At 50.2% G+C, this 22884-nt stretch overlaps 2 pseudogenes across 4 annotated transcripts in view, besides 1 other annotated feature; one reads left to right on the top strand and one right to left on the bottom strand.

Moving 5' to 3' along the window:
• The window catches only part of LOC100996643 (methylenetetrahydrofolate dehydrogenase (NADP+ dependent) 1 like pseudogene), a 45510-nt pseudogene extending 44312 nt beyond the window's left edge, over positions 1–1198 (bottom strand). For all 3 annotated transcript variants that reach the window (NR_160665.1, NR_160664.1, NR_160666.1), the window contains exon 1: positions 549–1198. The product of NR_160665.1 is annotated as a methylenetetrahydrofolate dehydrogenase (NADP+ dependent) 1 like pseudogene, transcript variant 3 (transcript). The remainder of the gene's footprint in view (positions 1–548) is intronic.
• Positions 16–19293, top strand: AQP7P1 (aquaporin 7 pseudogene 1; annotated as a pseudogene). The gene is made up of 4 exons (NR_002817.2): positions 16–324; positions 1420–1470; positions 7677–7806; positions 16604–19293. The product of NR_002817.2 is annotated as an aquaporin 7 pseudogene 1 (transcript).
• Positions 4414–4914: an enhancer, noted in NCBI's record as "H3K4me1 hESC enhancer chr9:67284594-67285094 (GRCh37/hg19 assembly coordinates)". NCBI's record gives its function as "activates a minimal SCP1, AML or CMV promoter by ChIP-STARR-seq in primed H9 embryonic stem cells {active_cell/tissue: H9 hESC(primed)}" and the evidence as "EXISTENCE:reporter gene assay evidence [ECO:0000049][PMID:30033119]".
• Positions 19294–22884: the final 3591 nt, after the last annotated feature.

Genomic DNA, 22884 nt, shown 5'->3' with positions numbered 1-22884 from the left:
AAAGGCCTGCTTCAGAACTCGGTCTCCACTGCACTGCTGGCCAGACGAGGGATGTTATTTTGGGCAGTGCATCTGGACTTGGTTCAAGTGGCACCAGCCAAATCCCTGCCTTACTGACCTCTCCCCTGGAGGAGCAGGAGCAGTGCTCAAGGCCGCCCTGGGAGGGCTGAGAGGCAGGCTCTGGACTGGGGACACAGGGATAGCTGAGCCCCAGCTGGGGGTGGAAGCTGAGCCAGGGACAGTCACAGAGGAACAAGATCAAGATGCGCTTTAACTGAGAAGCCCCCAAGGCAGAGGCTGAGAATCAGAAGACATTTCAGCAGAGTGAGTGGGGCTCCAGGCAGGGTGGGGATGGGGCAGCCTCCTCAGTGCCCAGATCTGGAAGGGCCATTCCCTGGGTACCATACAGCGAGGAGGTGACTGAGGGATTGTTTGGGGAAGGAGCCCCGGCTGGGAGTGGAAGTCCCGGCTTTCTTGTTATGGTGCAGTCCTGTGTTGCTGTGTGACACAGGCACATACACCTTCTCTCTGGGCCTCAGTTTCCTTACCTGTAAGTTGGTTGTTGGGAGGACCAGCGGTAGAGCAGAGATGGCAGGGATGCACTGGGCTGGGCTGTCAGCAGACCATGGGGGTGGGACGAGGAGAGAGCTGAAGACCACCGGCAGTGGACCACAGGGGGAGGCATGCAGGCCAGAGACGGGTCAGCTGCCGGCTTGCTGGAGTCATTCCTCCCACGCAGTCCCCTCCTGAGGGGCTGGAGCTGGGGCTGGAGGGTTTCAGCAGTCAGGGCTGGAGATAAGAGTCTGTGCTGGAGCTAGAGGGAACTGGGCTAGAGAATCAGGAGGACAGACAGGGTGAGGGGACTTCGGGCTACCTTCATGCTGTCAGTTAGAGATAAAGATAGGAGTACAAAGGGGAATTTTTGGGTGAGGTACACGGGTGAAATGAGTTTTCAGGGCCTCATCCTGTGTGTTCACCTTCTGTGTGTGTGTGTGTGTGTGTGTGTGCATGCGTGCATGTATGTGTGTGTGCAGGTCCTGGACAGTCACAGCTTAAGTTAGCAGCAAGAGAACTTGAGGTTAAAGGTATAGCACGCAAATATGAGGCTGGAGCCACTGAGTAGAGGCTGAGGGCATCTCCACAGTCCAAAGCTGGGCTGCAGACAGGGAAGGTCAGCAGGAGCACTGGAGGGTCTGGCCTGGGGTTGGGGTCCTGGGGCCAGCATGGGTGGGGTGGGGCTCCAGGGCGTCACCTCATTGGCTGAGCACCGCTCCTCCCTCCCTGTTCCTTGGCTGGGTTAAGGGAGTGGCACTAGCAGGAGCTGCCCCAGGGCTTCTCCCCTGGGGACAAAGGTCTGATGGAAGTGTGGGGCCAAGTTCTGTGTCCTCCAGCCCTAGTGACCTCTCTTTGGCTCCTCAGCATCTACAAATCTGAAGGACAAAACATGGTTCAAGCATCTGGGCACAGGCGGTAAGTACCCCACCTTCTTCTCACCCTCCAGCCCCCTGTCCTCCACCCAGCCCACTTCAGTGCCCTCCCTGCTCCATCCTCAGCCTCTCCCTTGGGGCAGCTGTCCCCCCTCGACCTCCTCCTCCCCACCCACCCACTCACCTCTGAGGTCCCAGAAGAAAAGCATCTTCCACCTGTTGCCTGGGCTGGGTCCTGGGGTGAGGGGAGGCTCAGAAATACTTGGATGAGGGTCAAGGCATGCAGGTGGCCTTCAACTCAACTGCACTCAGCACCTCTCACCCTCTCAGGCTCAGCTGTCTTTGGGGTGAAAAAGAGCCAGTCCTTGCAATGGCCAAGGCCCTGCCTATGTAGTCCTTGTTAGCTTTCTGGCCTCCCCACTCCAGCCCCCTGCTCTCCCTCCTCCAGCCACACTGAGTTTCTTTTCTGGTTTTTTTTTTCTTTTTTTTTTTTTTTGAGATGGAATCCAGTTCTGTTGCCCAGGCTGGAGTGCAATGGCAAGATCTTGGTTCACTGCAACCTCCTTCTCCCGGGTTCAAGCGATTCTCTTGCCTCAGCCTCCTGAGTAGCTGGGATTACAGGATTACAGGCACACACTACCATGCCCAGCTAATTAGTTGTTTGTTTTTTTTTTTTTTTTTTTTTTTTGTATTTTTAGTAGAAATGGGGTTTCGCCATGTTCGCCAGGCTGTTCTTGAACTCCTGACCTCAGGTGATCCACCCGCCTCGGCCTCCCAAAAGGTTGGGATTACAGGTGTGAGCCACTGCACCTGGCCTCACACTGACTTTCTTTGCTTTCTTTAAACATGCTGAGAGTCCTCTGGTGACTATTCCCTCCATCTGAGAGGCTTTCTGCAGTTAACATACAGCCCACTCTCATCTCCTTCATGGCTTTGCTCCAAGGCCACCTTCTCAACAAGGATTACTCTGACTGCCCTATTTGAAATCACACCCCATCTCCAGCCCCTGCACTCCCAATTCCCCTCTCCTTGCTCTGTTTTTTCCCATAGGAGCTGGTACCTTCGCTTATACAAATGTACTTACTTATTACATTTCATTGCTGTCAGCTCCACGCAAGCAGGGATATTTGCCTGTTGTACACTTGGACGGAGAGAATGAATAGTGCCCCTCTGTTGACATCATTGCCTCTAGCCTACGTCTCTTTCCAGGGCTTTAGATCCTGTTTCTAGAGACCCACTGGTGTCTCACAGGCAACTCAGCTCCTAGATGGAAACAGCCTCCTCCGCCCCCCACAAGTCCACTCCTCCTGTGCTCTTGGCTCAGTCAGGGGTCCCCTTCTCTTCAGTTGCTCAAGCCAGAAGTCAAGGTCATGTCCTTGATACTTCCCTCTTCCCCATGCCTCACATCCAGTCACCAATCTCCTAAAATATCTAGAATGTGCACAGCTTCCACCATTCTTTCTACCACCACCCTACTCCCCCATGGCCATGTCAGGCCACCACCCGCCCATTCTTCAAAACTCCCTTCAGGCCTCACCTCCCATGCCTCCCCTGAGTTCCCCCAGTCCCAGGCTGCTTCTCTCTGGTGGTGTTGCCATTACCCATCTCTTCTATTAAACAGAGTGACCCAAGAGTGGAGAGTGGGTTTTGACTTTGTATCCCTGGTGCTTGACTCATAAGTAGGTGCTCAACAAAAATTTTTTCTTTTTTTGAGATGGAGTCTTGTTCTGTTGCCCATGCTGGAGTGCAGTGGCATGATCTCGGCTCACTGCAACTTCTGCTTCTTGGGCTCAAGCGATTCTCACATCTCAGCCCCCACCCCAGCTGGGATTACAGGTGCCTGCCACCATGCCCAGCTAATTTTTTTTTTATTTTTAGTGGAAATGGGGTTCTGCCATGTTGGCCAGGCTGGTCTTGAACTCCTGACCTCAAGTGATCCACCTGCCTCGGCCTCCTGAAGTGTTGGGATTACAGGCATGAGTCACCATGCCTGGCCAACAAATGTTTGTTGAATGAAGAAATGTTGGCTAGCAGGTTGAATTGTTGGCTCGTGGTTAGTTGGATAGTTTATGGTTGACTGGTTGATTAGATAATTCAATGAGTTAATAGCTGGTTAACAGGAGAATCAGTTAGTTGGTTTTTGATAGGTTAGTCAAAGGGTTAATAAGCCACCGGGCATGTTGGCTCATGCCTGAAATCCCTGCACCTTGGGAGGCTGAGGCTGGAGGATTGCTTGAGTCCAGGAGTTTGGGACCAGCTTGGGTAACATGGCAAAACCCCATCTCTACAAAAAATAGGAAAAAATAGCCGGTCATGGTGGCATGCTCCTGTAGTCCCAACTACTTGGGAGGCTGAGGTGGGAGGATCACTTGAACCCTGGAAAGTCTAGGCTTCAGTGAGCTGTGACTGTGCCACTGCACTTCAGCCTGGGTGACAGAGTGAGACCCTGTCTCAAAAAAAAAAAAAAAAAAGAAAGAAAAAGAAAAAGAAAAGAAACAGGCATTAGTGAGTTGTTAGCTATTTAGTTCCTTGGTTAACAGATTACTTAGGGGATCTGGTTGGCTGTCAGTTTCTTGCTTTGTAGGCTGGCTTTCTTGGGCCCCTCTTCTTAGTCTGTACCCTCTCCTTGAGCTCTCTCATCTATGCCCATGGCTCAGATGACCATCTGTGATTTGCTGTCCTCCAAATGTGTCTGTAAGTGAGACCACATGACCAGCTGCCTCCTCACTGGCCATCCCACCCAAGTGTCTAGCGGGCTCCTCACACTCAACATGTCCAGAAAGGGCCTCCTTGTCCATTCTTTCACAGCTTCTCTGCTGTGCCCCACGCTAGTCATTCCGCTGCCCTAGCCAGGACCTGAGGGCATCGCTGAGCTGCCCCGCTCCCTTCCCTCTCTAACCGAACACCAAGCCTTTCAGCTTGACTGTGCTCTTGTGGCCATTGGCACTGCCATCTCTGTGGCTCAGGCTGCCACCACTTCTCCACCCATCTGTGGAGAAGCTGATGCTCACCCTGCCTCCACTCCACTTCCTCCATCCTGGCCTCCACAGGGGAGGCAGCTCTCCTGCTGAAACCCTCCACTTGGCCCATGGCCCTCTGGTAGAGTTCAGACTCCCTAATGTGGGCCATGAGGCCTTCTGCCACCTGGCCCTGGCCCCTCTCTGCCCATCTCATGCCACCTCCACTCCTCCGTGGCCAGCCCATTCCTGCACATTGGATACTGCCTTAGCTGCAGGCCTTTGCACATGCCAGTCCTACGCCCAGAGTGATCCCTGCCTCCCTGGAGGCTCCTTTACCCTCCAGCCTTCTTTTCTTGACCTAAATTTCCCTTTCTCTGGGAGCCTCCTACCCCCTCCTCTAGGCCATTCACTTCTTCCACATGCCCCACGGTGCCCACTCTTTCAGCTGGGGCAATGCTCATCACACTGCATAGTAATTGCTCAATTGATTGCTTTTCTTCCCACAGGCTGGATTGTACCAGTGTCCTTTACTGCAGTGACTGAACATTCTAGGCACAGTAGATTCAAGAAATCTTGAGTTCATTGGCTGGTTGGTGGTTATCTGTTGCTTACTGTGTCTTGCCTGCTGTGTGGTGATGAGGAAGGAGCCAGGCTTCCAGGATTCTCTTGGTGTTCTTGTCTTTCTGCTCTGTCCACTTCTCTCTCCTCTTCTGTAGTTACCTCCAGCATGGGAGGTGGGGTTGGATGGGAGCCAGTGGAGGGTCACCTCGCCCTGCTAGGGAGAGCAGCAGCATTCCTCAGGGCTCCTAAATTCCCCTGACCTCACAGCAGCAAAAAGTAAGCAGAGGGAATGAGAGACGTCCAGGCATGGAATAAAACATCTTCCACTTTTCAGCTGAGACCCTCTGTTCATAGCTCACCCATCCCAGTCCTTGCTCTATTCCTTACCCCAGAGAAACAAAACCAGGGATGAGTAGATGGAAGGGGATGCAGAGTTGCGCGGATATTCCACTGGCCCCCATCCAACTCCAGCTCCCATGCAGCATCGTATAGGGGTCTCATTATCCCATGACCAGCCTCCTCAGCCCTGAAGAAGAGACCCTACCAATGCAAGCAGCAGCCCAAAGACAGTCCTGGGAAGGTACCATAGAGGCAGGGGAGAGGTAGACAGAGCAGGGAGCCAAGAACACCAAGGGAATCCTGGAAGCCTGGCTCCTTTCTCATCAGCACAGAGCAGGTAACAACCAGCCAAGGAACCAAAGATTTATTGAATCTACTATGCCTACTATGTTCAGGCACTGCAGTGAAGCAAACTGGTATGATCCCAGCCCTTAGGAAGAAAAACCGTTAATTAATTAAGCTTTTTTTTTTTTTCTTTTTTGAGACAGGGTGTCGCTCTGTCACCCACGCTGGAGTGCAGTGGTGTGATCTCAGCTCACTGCAACCTCTGCCTTCTGGGCTCAGGCAATCCTCTCACATCAGCCTCCCCATTAGCTGGGACCACAGGCGTACACCACAACACCTGACTAATTTTTGTATTTTTTTTTTGTAGAGATGAGGTTTTGTCATACTGCCCAGGCTGGTCTTGAACTCCTGGGCTCAAGCGATCAGCTCGCCTCGGCAAGTGCTGGGATTACAGGTGTGAGACACTGTGCCTGGCCTAACTGAGCAATTACTATGCAGTGTGATGAGCATTGCCCCAGCTGAAAGAGTGGGCACCGTGGGGCATGTGGAAGAAGTGAATGGCCTAGAGGAGAGGGTAGGAGGCTCTCCCAGAGAAAGGGAAATTTAGGTCAAGAAAAGAAGGCTGGCGGGTAAAGGAGCCTCTGGGGAGGCAGGGGACCATTCTGGGCGTAGGACTGGCATGTGCAAAGGCCTGCAGCTAAGGCAGTACGTGATGTGCAAGGATGGGCTGGCCAGAGGAGTTGAGGGGCTGGTGTCAGCTTCCGGGCATGCAGACAGTGAGATAGCAGAGTGACTAAGGCCACACTTAGAGGTATCTGTATCCCTCTTCTTCCTCTTTTTTTTTTTTTTTTTTTTTTTTTTTTTGAGATGGAGTCTCGCTCTTGTTGCCCAGGCTGGAGTGCAGTGGCAAGATCTCGGCTCACCACAACCTCCATCTCCCATGTTCAAGTGATTCTCCTGCCTCAGCCTCCGAAGTAGCTGGGATTACAGGCATGCGCCACCATGCCTGGCTAATTTTGTATTTTTTAGTAGAGATGGGGTTTCTCTATGTTGGTCAGGCTGGTCTCGAACTCCCGACCTCAGGTGATCTGCTCACCTTGGCCTCCCAAAGTGCTGGGATTATAGGCGTGAGCTACCGGGCCCAGCCCCTCTTCTTCCTCTTTATCCTCCAGTCCCACCCCGCCACCTTCCCCAAACTCCAGTCCTATACCTCTCCCTATACGCAGATTTGGAACCTGTTACTCACCTGTTTCATCTACCTTTCCATCTAATCGTGCACTTAACTAAATATAAATCAAGTGCCAGGCCCTTTGGGAAGCTCTGAGGATCTAGTTGGGAGTAAGACAGATTCCCCAGTTTTCACCCATTCAACAAATACTTATTGCACATCTACTATGTGCCTGGCATGGTGCTGGGCACTGAAGATACACCAGGAAGTAGATCCAGTCCTTCCTTTTCTCCCTCCCTCTCTCGGTCATTCATTCATTCACTCACTCTCTCACAAACCTCTGTTTGCACTGACCTGGTTGCACAGCCTGGTGCATTTTGCTGACCCCTTCATTTTTGACAGAACCTGGCGCATGTTTCAGTGTTCAGTGCTGTTTACAGAGCTCGGCAGCAGACTTTGTCACACCTCATGCTGTTTGTAGAGTGCCTCACTGTTGCCAGGCCCTGGCCTGTGACCCCAAAGTTCTGGCTCTAGCAGATAGGCAGACAGACAGATGGACAGACATAGACTACTGAGCTCTACTTTCCAGCCTGCTCTCTCCCACCCTGCTTTTTCCCAGAGGCTTGTTGGCACCGTGGATTGCACTTTCAGCTCCCCACCTGCCCGTCTGCAAAGTGGCCTCATTGGTGTGCCATTTTTACTGGTCCAGTCCCAACTACAAGGGGCATGGCTTGGCCATCTACCCCAGTTCCTCTCCATGTCCCCATGGCTCTCAAGTGTCTCCAATTCCAGCTGTCCCAGCTGCCCCGGGCAAGAGGAGGTGTGTGTGGCAAGTCTGCTGGGTTACCTATTAACTCAGCTGTGAGTTGAAGAGCCGATGGGCAGCAGGCAGACTTGAGTCTCCTTTCTGTCCATGGGCTCGGGCCACTGTATCAGGTCCACCCGTGGCTCCAAAATGGTCTCCTGGTCCGTGATAGCAAAGATCCAGGAAATATGGTGCGAGGAAGATGAGAGGAAGATGGCGCGAGAGTTCCTGGCCGAGTTCATGAGCACATATGTCATGATGGTGAGTGGGTGGGCAGCACAAAGTGGGTGGGCTCTGCCAGGGCCTTCCATGACCCCCTCCCCATTCTGACCCCATGGGTCACATTGTCCATTCCTTGCCTCTGAGCTGGGAGCCTGGGGAAGCAGCGAGGAAAGTAAGGAGGGGGGGCTTTCTCATCAAGTCTTTTTGGACAGAAAGGGCTCATAATATGTGGGGGTCAAATGAAACCATGCACTGGGGTATCCAGGGCAAGGCTGGAAATGGGGAGAAGGGAAACCCAGAGTAAAGAGATTGAAGAGGCCCAGGTGCAGTGGCTCATGCCTGTAATTCCAGCACTTTGGGAGGCTTAGGCAAGTGGATCACCTGAGGTCAGGAGTTCGAAACCAGCCTGGCCAACATGGTGAAACCCCGTCTCTACTAAAAATACAAAAATTAGCTGGGCATGGTGGCGGACACCTGTAATCTCAGTTATTCAGGAGGCTGAGGCAGGAGAATCACTTGAGCCCAGGAGGTGGAGGTTGCAGTGAGCTGAGATCACACCATTGCACTCCAGCCTGGGTGACAGGAGCAAAACTCTGTCTCAAAAAAAAAAGAGAAGAGAGAGATTGAAGAGAAACTTGATGATCAGGCTCTGATAATGAATCCAGAGGGCAATGGGCGATGTTGAAGGCTGGCAAGCAGGGGAGTGACATGATCAGATTTGGATTTTAAAGGTAATTTTGTGTGCAGTGTGGAGCATAAGCAGGACAGGCAAGGCTGGCAAGAAGGAACCAGTTAAGAGGCTGTTTTTGATCTGGGACAGAGAGAGGGTGATGACTGATCTGGGGTTGGAGAAGAAAGCACATGTTTGAGAGGGCTGTGGGAGATGGAATCGGGGAGACTCTGCCAGCAGAACATGTGGGCAAAGCGCCGATGAGCTGTTCTGGAGCACGGGGCCCAGCACAGGGTGAGAGGCAAGATGCCTGTGGGGAAATCCAGGAGATAGTTAAACACAGGCAAGGGGCTGGAGCTCAGGAGAGGCTTGGTCTGGAAGGAAAAAGTTGAAGTTCATCACAACACAGGTGGTGGTTGTCAACACTGTCTAGAAGGAGTGTACAGAAAGAGAAAAGGATGGTTTGAGGACAGAGCCCTGAGGAATGAAGAGGGGCACGCAAAGGAGCCTGAGAAGGAATGGTCAGAGAGGTGGGAGGAGAACCAGAGCCGACTGCATGACAGAGGGGGGCAGTGGTTCCACCAGGAAGAAGCCATCAGCGGCATGGGCAGCGGCAGATGGGCCACGCAAGGTGAGCACTGGCAAGGGGCCTTAGGGTTTGCCAATGTGGAGGTTGCTGGTAACCTTGACAAGGGCTCTTCTTTAGTGTGTGATTGGGACAGAATCCAGACTGCAGGTGGGATGTGAGGTTGCTCCCTCTGCACCTGCTTCAGCCCTGCCACTTACCCCAGTGAGCCTCTGCCCTTAACATGACTGTAGCCATGTTTATTGCATCTTATGCAGGGTCCAGGGTCTAGAGAAAGAAGGGGCAGCCTCTGGGAAGGGAGGCAAAGGCAGCCAGGTGCATGCTAGAGGAAGGTGGGGTGAGAGAGGCTGTTTGTGTGTGTGGTGGGGCCCATGGAGCTCAAGGGAGAGAGGAAATTGGAACACCAGGTTTCTTAGCCTGACCCTGCCACTGAGTGACCAGTTGCCTTGGGCAGGTCTCTCCCTGGCTTAAAGCCTGACTTCTCACTTATATGGTGTAGAATTAGGCCTTCGTGGGCTTTGGAGCTGCGTTTGAATCCTAGCTCTGTTATCTTCTAGCTGTGCGACTATCCACAAGTATCTTAACTGTTCACAAATTTAGCTTTCTTGTTTTTGAGACAGGGTCTCACTCTGTCTCCTAGGATGGAGTGCAGTGGTACGATCTCAGCTCACTGCAGCCCCCACCTCCCATACTCAAGTGACTCTCTTGCCTCAGCCTCTTGAGTAGCTGGGACTACAGGCATGTGCCACTGTGCTCAGCTAATTTTTCTATTTTTAGTAGAGATGGGGTTTCACCATGTTGGCCAGACTGGTCTCGAACTCCCGAATTCAGGTGACCTTCCTGCCTCGGCCTCCCAAAGTGCTGGGATTGCTGGCGTGAGTCACCTCTCCCGGCCCACAACTTTAGCTTCCTTATTGGTTAACAGGAGGACTTGTGTGAAGAAGGCCAAGTCTCAGCACCCAGTGTGGTACCCATGTATTGGTCCCTTGTTATTAGGACGGGTGCTCTAGCTGCTGTCTCCTCTCTGTCTCTGGCCCTCCCCTACTCCTCTCTTACCTCCCCACCTGCTTTGGCTCCTGAGCTGTGAGGACAGCAGTTGGATCCTGTCCCTCCTTAATCCAGGGCAAAGTAATTCACTTACCACAAGACATTCCAGCCCCATGAGGGCTGTTAACCCTTGGAGCCTCGGAGGCAGGAGGGTGCATCCTCTGAGAGCTGTTAGGGAAATAGGCACCGCCCACATGCTTGATACCTGCCCACATCTGTGTTCCTCTTCCTTTTGTTGAGATTTTCATTGAGCACCTAATGCATCCTGGGCTCTGTGATGCTAAGCCCCTTACGTGCAGCATCTTCCCAAATCCTCGCAATAGCCCTGTGAAGTAGGTACTATTATTATCCCAGTTTCACAGATGGGAAAACTGAGGCTCCTTGAGACTAAGCCTTTTGCCCAAGGTCACACTTTAAGTCAAGATTAAATCCAGTGCAGTCTAATATCACAGTCTTTTTTGTTTTTGTTTTTGTTTTTTTGAGATACAGTCTTGCTTTGTCACAGTGGTGCAATCTCGGCTCACTGCAACCTCTACCTCCTGGGTTCAAGTGATTCTTGCATCTCAGCCTCTGGAGTAGCTGGAATTACAGGTGCATGCCACCATGCCCAGCCAATTTTTGTATTTTTAGGAAAGACAAGGTTTCACCATGTTGTCAAGGCTGGTCTTGAACTCCTGACTTCAAGTGATCCTCCCACCTCGGCCTCCCAAAGTGCTGGGATTACAGGCATGAGTCACCGTGCCCAGCCCAATATCACAGTCTTGACCCTTAACCTCTATGCTCTGTACCTTAGCTTAAATATTGCCAGCTTTTAAAGACTGGCTTGTTAATGCTCCCCCAGCCAGGGTAAAGTCCTCACTTTCAGGTAGTTCAAGATGCCTCTCTCGGCCTCAGTTTCCCCACTTATAGAGTGGGAGAAAAATTCTTGCTGTGCAGATTTGTTGTGAGGATTGAAGACAGTAGCACTTGTAAAAGAACTTTGTGAGGCGTAAGCCTATATCGGATATTGTGGTGTTGTTATTTTTAGTTGCCAGGCTGTGCCAAGAAGTGAGGGCTTTTTTTTTTTTTTTTGTAAATATATATATAGGAATCTCAGTGAGTCACCAGGGTGAAGTTTTGCCAAAAAAGCTAGTGTGACCTTGGCCCCATTTATTGCAGCCAGGACAAGGGAAGTGGACTGATCCGTGTTGCAGCTTCCAGGTGTGTTGCCCTTGGAGCTGGCCTCCTGGCTGTGGGGGAGAGTTGGATGGGCTGGGCCACATTCACTGATCAGGGAGAGGAGGGGCTGGAGCCATCCGGGCCCTGGAAAACCAGCCATACACATGAGACACGGGGCAAGGGTTGTAGATCACATGCTACGGGGGCCAAGAGAGCGGCAACTCAGGGCGGTGGGGACTTTGGCTGGCTGCAGAGTGCCAATCTGTGCAAGGCTGTAGAGCTGCTGCCACTCCAGCTGACTGTTGCCATGGAGGGTGGAATGCAGGCCAGTGTTGCTTGAGCTGCTCATTTTTCAAGAGAGACGGAAACTTCTGTTCTTCAAAACCAAGTTATCTAAACAAAATCTGTGCGCTGGATGAATTAGGTGCATGAGTTGCCAGTTGGCAACCCTGACACAAGGAATCATGTGGGGTTCATTCACTCACCCAGTATTTTATTTTATTTATTTTATTTTTTTGAGACAGAGTCTCACCCTGTTGCCCAGGCTGGAGTGCAGTGGTGTGATCTCAGCTCACTGCTCTGCCTCCCGGGTTCAAGTGATTCTCCTGCCTCATCCTGCCGAGTAGCTGGGATTACAGGCATGTGCCACCACACCTGGCTAATTTTTTGTATCTTTAGTAGAGACGGGGTTTCACCATGTTGGCTAAGCAGGTCTCAAACTCCTGACCTCATGATCGGCCTGCCTCGGTCTCCCAAAGTGCTGGGATTACAGGCGTGAGCCACCACACCCGGCCTATGCTCATCCAGTATTTTTAGCACATGGTATTGGAATGCGGGAAAGGCCATGGGGGCCCCTCTGTTTTCAGACCCTCCATGCCTCCTCCAGTCCCTCTACCTCTTGACCCTGCCAGCCTGTCAACCTGTCCTGACCTCACTCCCCCCTGCACCCCCATCTGTTCCTGTCCTCTCCTGCTGTATCTTATCCTGGATCTGAAGCCAGCCTAGCTCTGGGCTCCCCTGCTCCTGTCCTGGGGCTTCTGAGGGACCCAGTGGGCCCTGCTCAGCTGCCTCTCCCCCACCATATCTGGGCTATTTCACATTTTCTCAGACTTCCCCAAAGCTGCTCTGTACTCTTTTTTTTTTTTTAAATCAGCAAATGGCTTGATCTGCTGCTTGATAGGTAAAATAATCAACACTTCCTATGTTCAGCTCACCCTCTTGTCCCTCTTACCACCAGACCCGTTAACCACCCGTGTATCCACATATCACCCCTTGGCTGGGGTGGGGTCCTCTCCTTCCTGGAGGACACCTCCACTTCTGCACCAATCCAGCTGTCCAGCCTATTCAGGTACTTTACTCTGTCCTTTTTCTCTGTCCTTTATCTTCAGCCCATCCCTCTCTCAGCCTATAAACATACTGAAGTTTCTCCACTGAAAACAACACAAAATGAAACATCCCTTCCTTCACCCTGTCAGCCCCTTCACGGGATCATGTTCTCTCTTCCCCGCTCCTCAGGCGAATTCTCGAAGAGGAGTCTACACTGGTGCCTTTCAACTCTTTTTTTTTTCTTTTTTTGAGATGGAGTCTTGCTCTGTCGCCCAGGCTGGAGTGCAGTGGTGTGATCTCGGATCACTGCAAGCTCCACCTCCTGGGTTCAAGCAATTCTCCTGTCTCAGCCTCCTGAGTAGCCAGGATTACAGGCAAGCACCACCACGCCTGGCTAATTTTTGTATTATTAGTAGAGACGGGGTTTTGTCATGCTGGTCTTGAACTCCTGACCTAAAGTGATCCATCCACCTCGGCCTTCCAAAGTGCTGGGATTACAGGCATGAGCCACCGCACCCGGCCTGGTCTGCCTTCTTACCTTGTACCCTCTCCTGGGGCCTTCTCCTCTGTCGGCTTTGACTTTGGCCCTTATGTCTACAATTCTTCAGGTTTTCTCCTTTATCAACTCTAGAACAGAGTTCTCCAGGGGAAATACAATACAAGCCATCTGTATAATTTAATTTTTTCTAGTATCCACATTAAAAAGGTAAAAAGCAACAGGTGAAATTAATTTTAATAATTAACCCATATAGCCAAAATCCTATTTCAAGATGCAATCAATGTAAAATTATTAGGATATTCTGGCCAGGCATGGTGGCTCACACCTGTAATCCCAGCACTCTGGGAGGCTGAGGTGAGAGGATTGCTTAAGGCCAGGAGCTCGAGACCAGCCCGGGCAACATAGTGAAACCTCATCTCTACACAAAATAAATTGAAAAACTTAGCTGGGATAGGGCTCAATGGCTCATGCCTGTAATCCCAGCACTTTGGGAGGCCAAGGCAGGCTGATCATCTGAGGTCAGGTGTTTGAGACCAGTCTGGCCAACATCGTGAAACCCTGTCTCTACTAAAAATACAAAAAAATAGTTGGGCATGGTGGCATGCACCTATAATCTCAACTACTCGGGAGGCTAAGGCAGGAGAATCACTTGAACCCGGGAGTTGGAGGTTGCAGTGAGCCGAGATTGCGCCATTGCACTCCGGCTTGGGCGACAGAGCAAGACTGTCTCAAAAAAAAAAAAAAAAAAATTGGCTGCGTGCCGAGGCACATGCCCATAGTCCCAACTACTTGAGAGGCTGAGGTGGGAGTATCACTTGAGCCCAGGAGATGGAGGCTGCAATGAGCCCTGATCATGGCACTGCACTCCAGCCTGGGTGATAGAGCAAAACCCTATCTCAAGCATCAAACAAACAAACAAATAAAACAGAGGCACAAGAAAGCAAGGCATGCATGGAGCAGCGCAGTTGTTTGGTTTGAGGCCATCTGGGACAGGTAACTGCCTGGATTTAATCCTGGCTCACCATGTACAGGCTGTGTGACCTTGGACAAGCCATTCAAGTCCTCTAAGCTTCAGATTACCCATCTGTCAAGTGGGGGAGAATAATAGTGCTTAACTATCATTTGCAACATCTGAGTTTCTGGCTCGGCCAACGGGGATGGGGAACATAGAGTGAGGAGCAGGTGTGCTGTGAGATGGCGAACCTTCAACAGAGCCTGAGACGTCCGCGGAACACCAGGAGAGTTGCAGTGGGGATTTGCAAATAGGCATCTGGCTCCCCCACGGAGATGACGGGAATTTCAGCGCATCAGGCATAGCTGAGACTGTCTACGTGGTAAAACCATGCCTGAAAAGACCTTTGGAAAATCAGGAGGTTGCTGGAGCCCTTGGAGAGAGCTTTGGTGTCTGTGACATGTGGAAATGGAAGCCAGATTGAGGAGGGGGTGCGAGGGAAGGGGTGAAGCAGCTGGCCAGTGTGTTCTCTCCTGCAGCCTGACTGAAACAGGGAGGGGGCAACCAGGAACCCACAGCTGGAGAAGGACACTGGGCAGGGGTGGGACAGTTTGCTGGGAAGGATGAGACTCCAGTGTGTGGGAACCGATCAATGGGAGGATGGAAGGTATGGGGGAGACGGAGGCCTCTGCAGAGGGAGAGGATAGCACAGGAGCCAGGGCTGAAGGGAACAGTGGCTCTAGACTGAGGGTAATGGGCCTGAAGGTAGGCCCCTTCCCCTGTGAAGGCAGCATTATCTGAGGAGCCGTGAGGGATGGGCAAGAAGCAGCAGCTTGGGAATGCCGCCTGAGGTCAGTGGAAATGAAGCTGAGGGCAAGACAGTTAGGGCCCCACTGTTCCAGCATTGTGGGAATTGCGGTGGAGTGTGTGTGTGTAGGGAGGGGTTCCTGGCAGAGTCAGGCATGGATGGATTTGGAGGTCCCTTGAAGAAACTTCCTTCAGGTCAGCCTGAAGTGTGAGGGACTCTGAGGGGGTGCAATGCATGCCAGCCATCCCCTCCTTGCAGCCCTGCCTCACCCCAAAACTTCAGGTGGGCCTGGGGCTGAGGTGCTTGGATGTTTGTAGTAAGAGCTTCTAACTCTGCTGCTCCACCCGGCTCTCAGTGGCTCAGGTCTGAGAGGCCTCAGCAGGGGCAAGGAGAGGAGGCAGTGAGGAGGGAAGGCTCTGGAGGAAGAGGGCATGGCAGAGGGTCTTCGAGGCAACGCCAGGGAGGCCCAGGGCATGGGGGTGAGGAGCTAGAACTGAGCTCTGAGCCCTCCTCTGAGGTTGGGGCTTCTGGGCAGGCAGCCCCCTTAGAGGCCCTCCCTTGTAGGTATTCGGCCTTGGTTCCGTGGCCCATATGCTTCTAAATAAAACATTTGGGAGCTACCTTGGTGTCAACTTGGGTTTTGGCTTCGGAGTCACCATGGGAGTGCACATGGCAGGCCGCACCTCTGGTGAGTGAGCCCAGGCCCTGCCGGACCGGGCAAGACCAGGTGTCCCCAACAGGCTCTTTCCTGCCCGCCTCAGCCAGCTCCTTTGCCAGCACAGCCAGTGCCTCAGCCTGGCCACCGGGCGGGAGGAAGTCTCCTCTGAACCCCGTGCCTATGACGTGTCTGCCCCAGATTCTTCCTGGCCCCCCCGACCTACCATTTTCACTGGCTGGGTCATCTTAGGCAAGCCATCGCCTCTGTGTTCCTCAGTTTCCTTAAGAGTGAAACGAAGATGGTGGCCCCTGCCTCACGGGGTGGTTGTGAGGGCTCAAGGAGAGAACTCTGTCACGGAGCATGCTGTCATACACGCTAGCCATCGTTGTTCTCATACTGTTTGTCACTGTTGTTTGTTCTGCTCTCGCTCCCTGACACACTTGCCTGCTGCCCGCAGGAGCCCACATGAACGCAGCTGTGAGCTTCACTAACTGTGCACTGGGCCGTGTGCCCTGGAGGAAGTTTCCAGTCTATGTGCTGGGGCAGTTCCTGGGCTCCTTCCTGGCGGCTGCCACCATCTACAGTCTCTTCTACAGTGAGCGTCCTGCCCGGGTGTCCGCCTCTGGCCTCAGCTGCCTCCTATGAAATATGGGCAGATTGGACCTCAGTGTCCTGATTTGTAAAAAATAGCTGGGAGAAAAAAGCCTTGGAGATCTCCTACCCTCTAACCTATAACCTCATTTCCGGGACCCTGGTGGGGCTTAGTTGGGGACAGGTTCGCGTGATAGTCTGTGTCTCCACAGCGGCCATTCTCCACTTTTCGGGTGGAGAGCTGATGGTGACCGGTCCCGTTGCTACAGCTGGCATTTTTGCCACCTACCTTCCTGATCACATGACATTGTGGCGGGGCTTCCTGAATGAGGTCAGTGGTCCAGGATGAGTACCCCTCCCCCTGCCCTCCACCCCTCAGGACGGAGCCAGCAGGGAGTCCCTCCGGATAGACAGGACAAGAACTCTGGATGGAGACTGTACCAAGATGTGTCTCTGCTGGTGGGCTTGGGTCTGGGGCACTGCCGAGGTCCTGTGGCTTGGGGAGGGGCCCAGGTGAGCTTCCACAGCATCTGCTCCTCAGGAGTGGCTGACCGGGATGCTCCAGCTGTGTCTCTTCGCCATCGTGGACCAGGAGAACAACCCAGCACTGCCAGGAACACACGCACTGGTGATAGGCATCCTCGTGGTCATCATCAGGGTGTACCATGGCATGAACACAGGATATGCCATCAATCCGTCCCGGGACCTGCCCCCCCCCCCCGCATCTTCACCTTCATTGCTGGTTGGGGCAAACTGGTCTTCAGGTACTGCCCCTGCCCAGGCCCATTCCTTTGAGATTTTCTGTGGGGCCCCTGTGTGTTGAGGTGTGGGGGGTGATGTGAGGGGCAGCACAGGAGGGTCCTGCAGAGCCCCCAGGTGGCCTGGGGAGCAGGAGTGAGTCCCAACATTTCCCCAGGCCAGTAGAGATACAGATCCTGCACCTGCACTGAGTGTCAACCCTGTCCCTGAGTCGGGCTGAGGCTGACCAGGGCCCCGGGTTGGGGGTGTTTCCTGGGTTAGCCTGAGGATGACTCCTCTGCTCAACCAGTCTTGGCCCGAGGTGGATGAGGGTGCTGTCCTGGGCATCAGCCCCCTCAGCCGGCCTCTGCCTCTTGCCTGCAGCGATGGGGAGAACTTGTGGTGGGTGCCAGTGGTGGCACCACTTCTGGGTGCCTCTCTAGGTGGCATCATCTACCTGGTCTTCATTGGCTCCACCATCCCACGGGAGCCCCTGAAATTGGAGGACTCTGTGGCATATGAAGACCACGGGATAACCGTATTGCCCAAGATGGGATCTCATGAACCCATGATCTCTCCCCTTACCCTCATCTCCGTGAGCCCTGCCAACAGATCTTCAGTCCACCCTGCCCCACCCTTACATGAATCCATGGCCCTAGAGCACTTCTAAGCAGAGATTATTTGTGATCCCATCCCTTCCCCAATAAAGAGAAGCTTGTCCCACAGCAGTACCCCCACTTCCTGGGGGCCTCCTGTGGTTGGGCTTCCCTCCTGGGTTCTTCCAGGAGCTCTAGGGCTATGTCTTAGCCCAAGGTGTAGAGGTGAGGCACCTCAAGTCTTTCATGCCCTGGGAACTGGGGTGCCCCAGGGGGAGAATGGGGAAGAGCTGACCTGCGCCCTCAGTAGGAACAAGGTAAGATGAAAGAATGACAGAAACAGAATGAGGGATTTTCAGGCAAGGGGGAAGGAAGGGCAGTTTTGGTGAAAGGACTGTAGCTGACTGGTGGGGGGCTGGCTTTGGAAATACTTTGAGGGGATCCTGAGACTGGACTCTAGACTCTCCCCTGGTTGTTCCCTTCCCCGAGTTCTGGCCGGTTCTTGGACCAGACAAGGCATGGCCCAAGAAGGTAGATCAGAATTTTTTAGCCTTTTTTTCATTAGTGCCTTCCCTAGTATAATTCCAGATTTTTTTTCTTAATCACATGAAATTTTAATACCACAGATATACTATACATCTGTTTATGTTCTGTATATGTTCTGTGCTTTATACGTAAAAAAGAGTAAGATTTTTTTTCACCTCCCCTTTTAAGAATCAGTTTTAATTCCCTTGAGAATGCTTGTTATAGATTGAAGGCTGGTAAGGGGTTGGGCTCCTCTTTCTTCTTCCTGGTGCCAGAGTGCTCCCACATGAAGGAATAGGAAAGGAAGATGCAAAGAGGGAAATCCTTCGAACACATGAAGACACAGGAAGAGGCCTCTTAGGGCTCCAAGGGCTCCAGGGAAGCAGCTGCAGAGGTTGGGTGGGGTGAGGGGCCAGGATCCACTGACCCTGGGGCCAGGCAGGAATCACTCTGTTGCCTGGGGCTCAGAAGGCAGTATCACCCATGGTTCCTGTCATTGCTCATGTATTTTGCCTTTCAACAATTATTGTGCACCTACTGTGTGCAGGCCCTGCCTGGACACTGGGGATGCGCAGTGGATGCACTGGGCTCTGCCTTTGAGGGTTGCAGTTTAATGGGTGACAGGTAATTATAAGGAAGAAGGTGAGTGCAGAGTGGGAGGCTTGGAGGCTGTGGGGCTTGGGGTGGGGGAGCTCACATCCAGCCTCTGGGCCAAGGCCAGGAGGCTTCCCAGAGCAGGAGACAGAGCAGGGTATTGTGGTGGGGGGTGTCCTTTTTGGGGCTGGGATCTGCACTTTACAGTTTGAGGGGATGGGCAGAGGAGGCTGGGCTTCATTCTGGAGGTGGGGACATGGTGAGGTGAGGTTTAGAAAGCACACCTGAGCCGCAGTGTGTAGGATGCTGGAAATGGTGGAGATGGGCCTGCGAAGAGAGTGCTGGGAAGTGATGACCCAGGAGCAGCAGCCGGGCACCTAACAATGGGTCAGCACCGTGGGCGTGGAGACAAAGGCCGGGATTGATCAATACCCGAGAAGTACAATGTACAGGACTTGGGCTCCATTTGGATGGAGTGGGTGAGGGAGGAGTCAGAAATGGCTTCCGATTTCCAGCTTGGGCCTGGGGATTGGAGATGTCCCCACTGAGAGTAGGGCACAAGTGAGGAAATGGTTTGGAGAGGAAGATGATAAGTTACATCATGGATGTGCTGAGTCTGAGTTGCCTATGGGACTTGGAATGGGGGGTGGCAAAAGGTGTGTGATCTTGAGCAAGATATTCAACTCTTCTGGGCCTTGGTCTTCTCATTTGTAAAACGGTGATAAGAATATTACTTCCCATTTGTGTTGCTGTGAATATTAAATGCGCTACCACATGTAAAATGTTGAGAATCGTTTCTAGCTCAGAGTAAGTGCTCAATAAACACCATTATGCCTTTTATATGGTCTGGAGCTCAGAAGTGGAAGACAGGGTTTTGTGAAGTCATGGCTTTGTGGATGTAGCTAGATTGTGGAGTAATGGCAGGAGGGTCGGGGGCATGGCACAAGGTAAGTGGTCAAGAGACACTGGACACAACCCAAATGTCCATCCACAGGGTAACAGATACATACACTGCTGTGCAATTGCACATAATAGAATCCTCTACAATAGCAAAAATTAAGGCACAACAGACACCTGCAACAACACAGAAAAATTCTGGAGGCATAAAAAGTAATACAGTAGCTGGGTGTGGTGGTTCACACCTGTAATCCCAGCACTTTGGGAGGCCAAGGTGGGTGGATCACGAGGTCAAGAGATCAAGACCATCCTGGCCAACATGGTGAAACCCTGTCTCTACTAAAAATACAAAAATTAGCCGGGTGTTATGGCACACACCTGTAGTCCCAGCTACTCGGGAGGTTGAGGTGGGAGAACTGCTTAAACCTGGGAGGCGGAGGTTGCAGTGAGCCAAGATCACATCACTGCATTCCAGCCTGGCGACAGAGCGAGACTCGGTCTCAAAAAAAAAAAAAAAGCCTGGTGTAGTTGGGCACCTGTAATCCCAGCTGCTCAAAAGGCTGAGGCAGGAGAGAATCTCTTGAACCCGGGAGGCGGAGGTTGCAGTGAATGGAGATTGTGCCACTGCACTCCAGCCTGGGTGACAGAGTGAGACTGCGTCTCAAAAAAAAAAAAAAAAGTAATACGGTAGACTATATACAGTGTGACACAATCTTGTAGCTGAAAAATAAGCAAAAACACATTATTTGATATATATATGTATGTAAGAAAACTATTTTAGAAAAAGAAATAATTCCTACAGGCAGATGGGGAAGAACACAGGAGTAGTACAAGCTATTAATAATTTTCTAGTTTTGGAGTTGGACATTTGTGGGTTTATTATATGATTGTGCTTGATAACATATAAATGTGATACATATTGTTTGTATGAGATATATATATATGTATATATATATATACACCCACACACAGATAGATGATTGCTGACAAGGAGTTTCTAAAGATCATATATATATTTTTAGGTAAAATAGAATAACATTCTGCTTCTGGTCTTCATAATAAAAGAGAAATCAGGACTAAGAAATCAAGTGTTTATTATATAGAGTTTTAATTTTTATTCTTTTATTTATTGATTTATCTTCTTTAGGCATGTGCAGAGATGAACTCACTAATTGTTCAAAATAAACAATTTGAATTCAAAGCAAAGTATATTTTTGGAATATCAATTATCACTTATTGCAGATAAATGATAATATAAAACACCAACTTTGGAATTTATTTGTTTTACTTCTGTGACTCTCAGCCTACTTTTTAAAATATAGTGTATGTTTTAGGTAAGTTCAGACAGCAGCCAGCACTACATTTGGTTTAAAATCCAGTTTTATAATGACTTCATCTTTCAACCAGCCAAAGGGTAGTTACCTTGTGTCTGCCATCGTGCATATGCTCTCAGCTCCTGACTGAGAAAACATGCCTGCAAGCACTTCCCTGCCTGAGATTATATTAAAAATCCATACCTGTGCTAGCAGCATGAGTTCAAGTTGATTATTGTTCTAGATCTGTGACTTCCCATTCATCCTCCTAAAGATATAAATGATTGCTTTTCAATAGACCACATACATAGGAATGATTATGAAGGCAAGGTTTAGTAACAATAATATACATAGTACTCTAATGGGATTGAATTGGAACACCCACATTAAACTCTCTTAAAATATATGGAGCAGAACACATGAGAGAAAGCAAAAGAACAAGTGCACACAGCAGAGCTGCGAGTTGCATACTCTGTGCATGCTAATACCATCGCAACAACATCACTAAGGCTTCTGGGTAACGTTTGCCACATCATATTGTGACATGCATTTGTTTTTATATTTTACCCTAAAAGGCAAAATAACTCTCCATGTGATGACAGAAGGAGCACACACAAAAAAAACCCTCTCAGAAATATTAAAATGGTTGCAGGTAATTCAAATGGTATACTGTTTTAAAAGGTACTTGTCTAACACTTTAAGTTGGAAAAGCATCTTGGAAGTCATTAGATTCATATTTACATTACTTGAATTGTGACCCTAGCTTGACATTTCCATGGTGGGAGACATATTTTATTTAGGAGGCAGCAGTCTATTTAGTTTTTGAGAGCTTAATCGATAGATGGTTCAGATTTTCTACTGAACCAAAATCTAAATGCCTACCCATTGGTTTTCGTAGCCAACGTCAATATCCAACTGCTCTTTCATACAACATGGCTTCAAAGGCTATGTAACTAACATCATGCCACTGCACCTGTGTCTTTTTAAAGCCAAGTACCTCTAGTGCCCCTCATTATAGCTCATATTTCAAGGTATCTTTCAGCAACAATGAATTGCATTAATCAAACTCACTTTTTTTGCGTGTGCTTCACTTTATAGCTCTTCACAAATAACACATTTTTCACAAATTGAAGGTTTGTGGCAATCTTGCATCAAGCAAGTCTATTCATTCTATTTTTCCAACAACGTGCTCACCTTGTGTCTCTATTTGACATTTTAGTAATTATCACAACATTTCACATTTTTAAATTATTATTATTATTTTAAATATTTTAACTTTTAGGTTCATGGGAACGTGTGGAGGTTTGTTCTTTAGGTAAATTCGTGACTCAGGGGTTTGATGTACAGATTATTTTGTCACCTGAGTAGTAAGCATAGTACCCAACAATTTTTTTTTCCCTGAACCTCACCCATCTCTCATCCTCCTCCCTCAAGCACAACCTAGTGTCTATTGTGCTGCTCTTTCTGTCAATGTGTTCTCATTATTTAGCTCCCAGTGATAAGTGAAAATAGGGAGTATTGGGTTTTCTGATCCTGTGTTACTTTGCTAAGGATAATGGCCTCCAAGCTCCATCCATGTTGCCGCAAAGGACAGATCTCATTCTTTTTTATGGCTGCATAGTAATTCATGGTGTATATGTACCGTACTTTCTTTTTCCAGTCTACCACTGATGGGAATTTAAGTTGATTCCTGGGTATCTATTACCTAAATTACATATAAAAGCAGAAAAGAAAAATGACAAGTAGAACATGAAAGTTAAACAGTATCTTTTCAGGTTCAATGACATAAATATTCTTATTATCTAAAGGTATAAAGTCTAATGTTTTATTTCCTATAGTGCTTTTATAGCAAAACACTTTTCAGAATTAGATAAACCAGATTGAGGCCCCAGTCTTACTACCTATTAGCTAGGTAAACTTGAGCTTTGGGATTTTCAGATTCAGATCTTGCAGGCAAATAAGATTTATTTGATATTACTTGAGGATGACAATGTCTATCTTGCAGATTATTATGGTAATGAGTTTATTTATGTGGATTGTTTTAGGATATTTTAAAACTATGTACAGACCTAAAAAAATCCTCATAATCTTTGCAGAACTGGGGAGGCATACAGGCATAATACAACTGTAAGAGTTACTGTTTCTCATGCTTTTGTTTT

Source organism: Homo sapiens, chromosome 9 (genome assembly GCF_000001405.40).
Source record: "Homo sapiens chromosome 9, GRCh38.p14 Primary Assembly".
Lineage (NCBI taxonomy): Eukaryota > Metazoa > Chordata > Mammalia > Primates > Hominidae > Homo > Homo sapiens.
The sequence above is the reverse complement of the archived record's forward strand: the minus strand, read 5'-3'. Positions and strand labels throughout refer to the sequence as shown.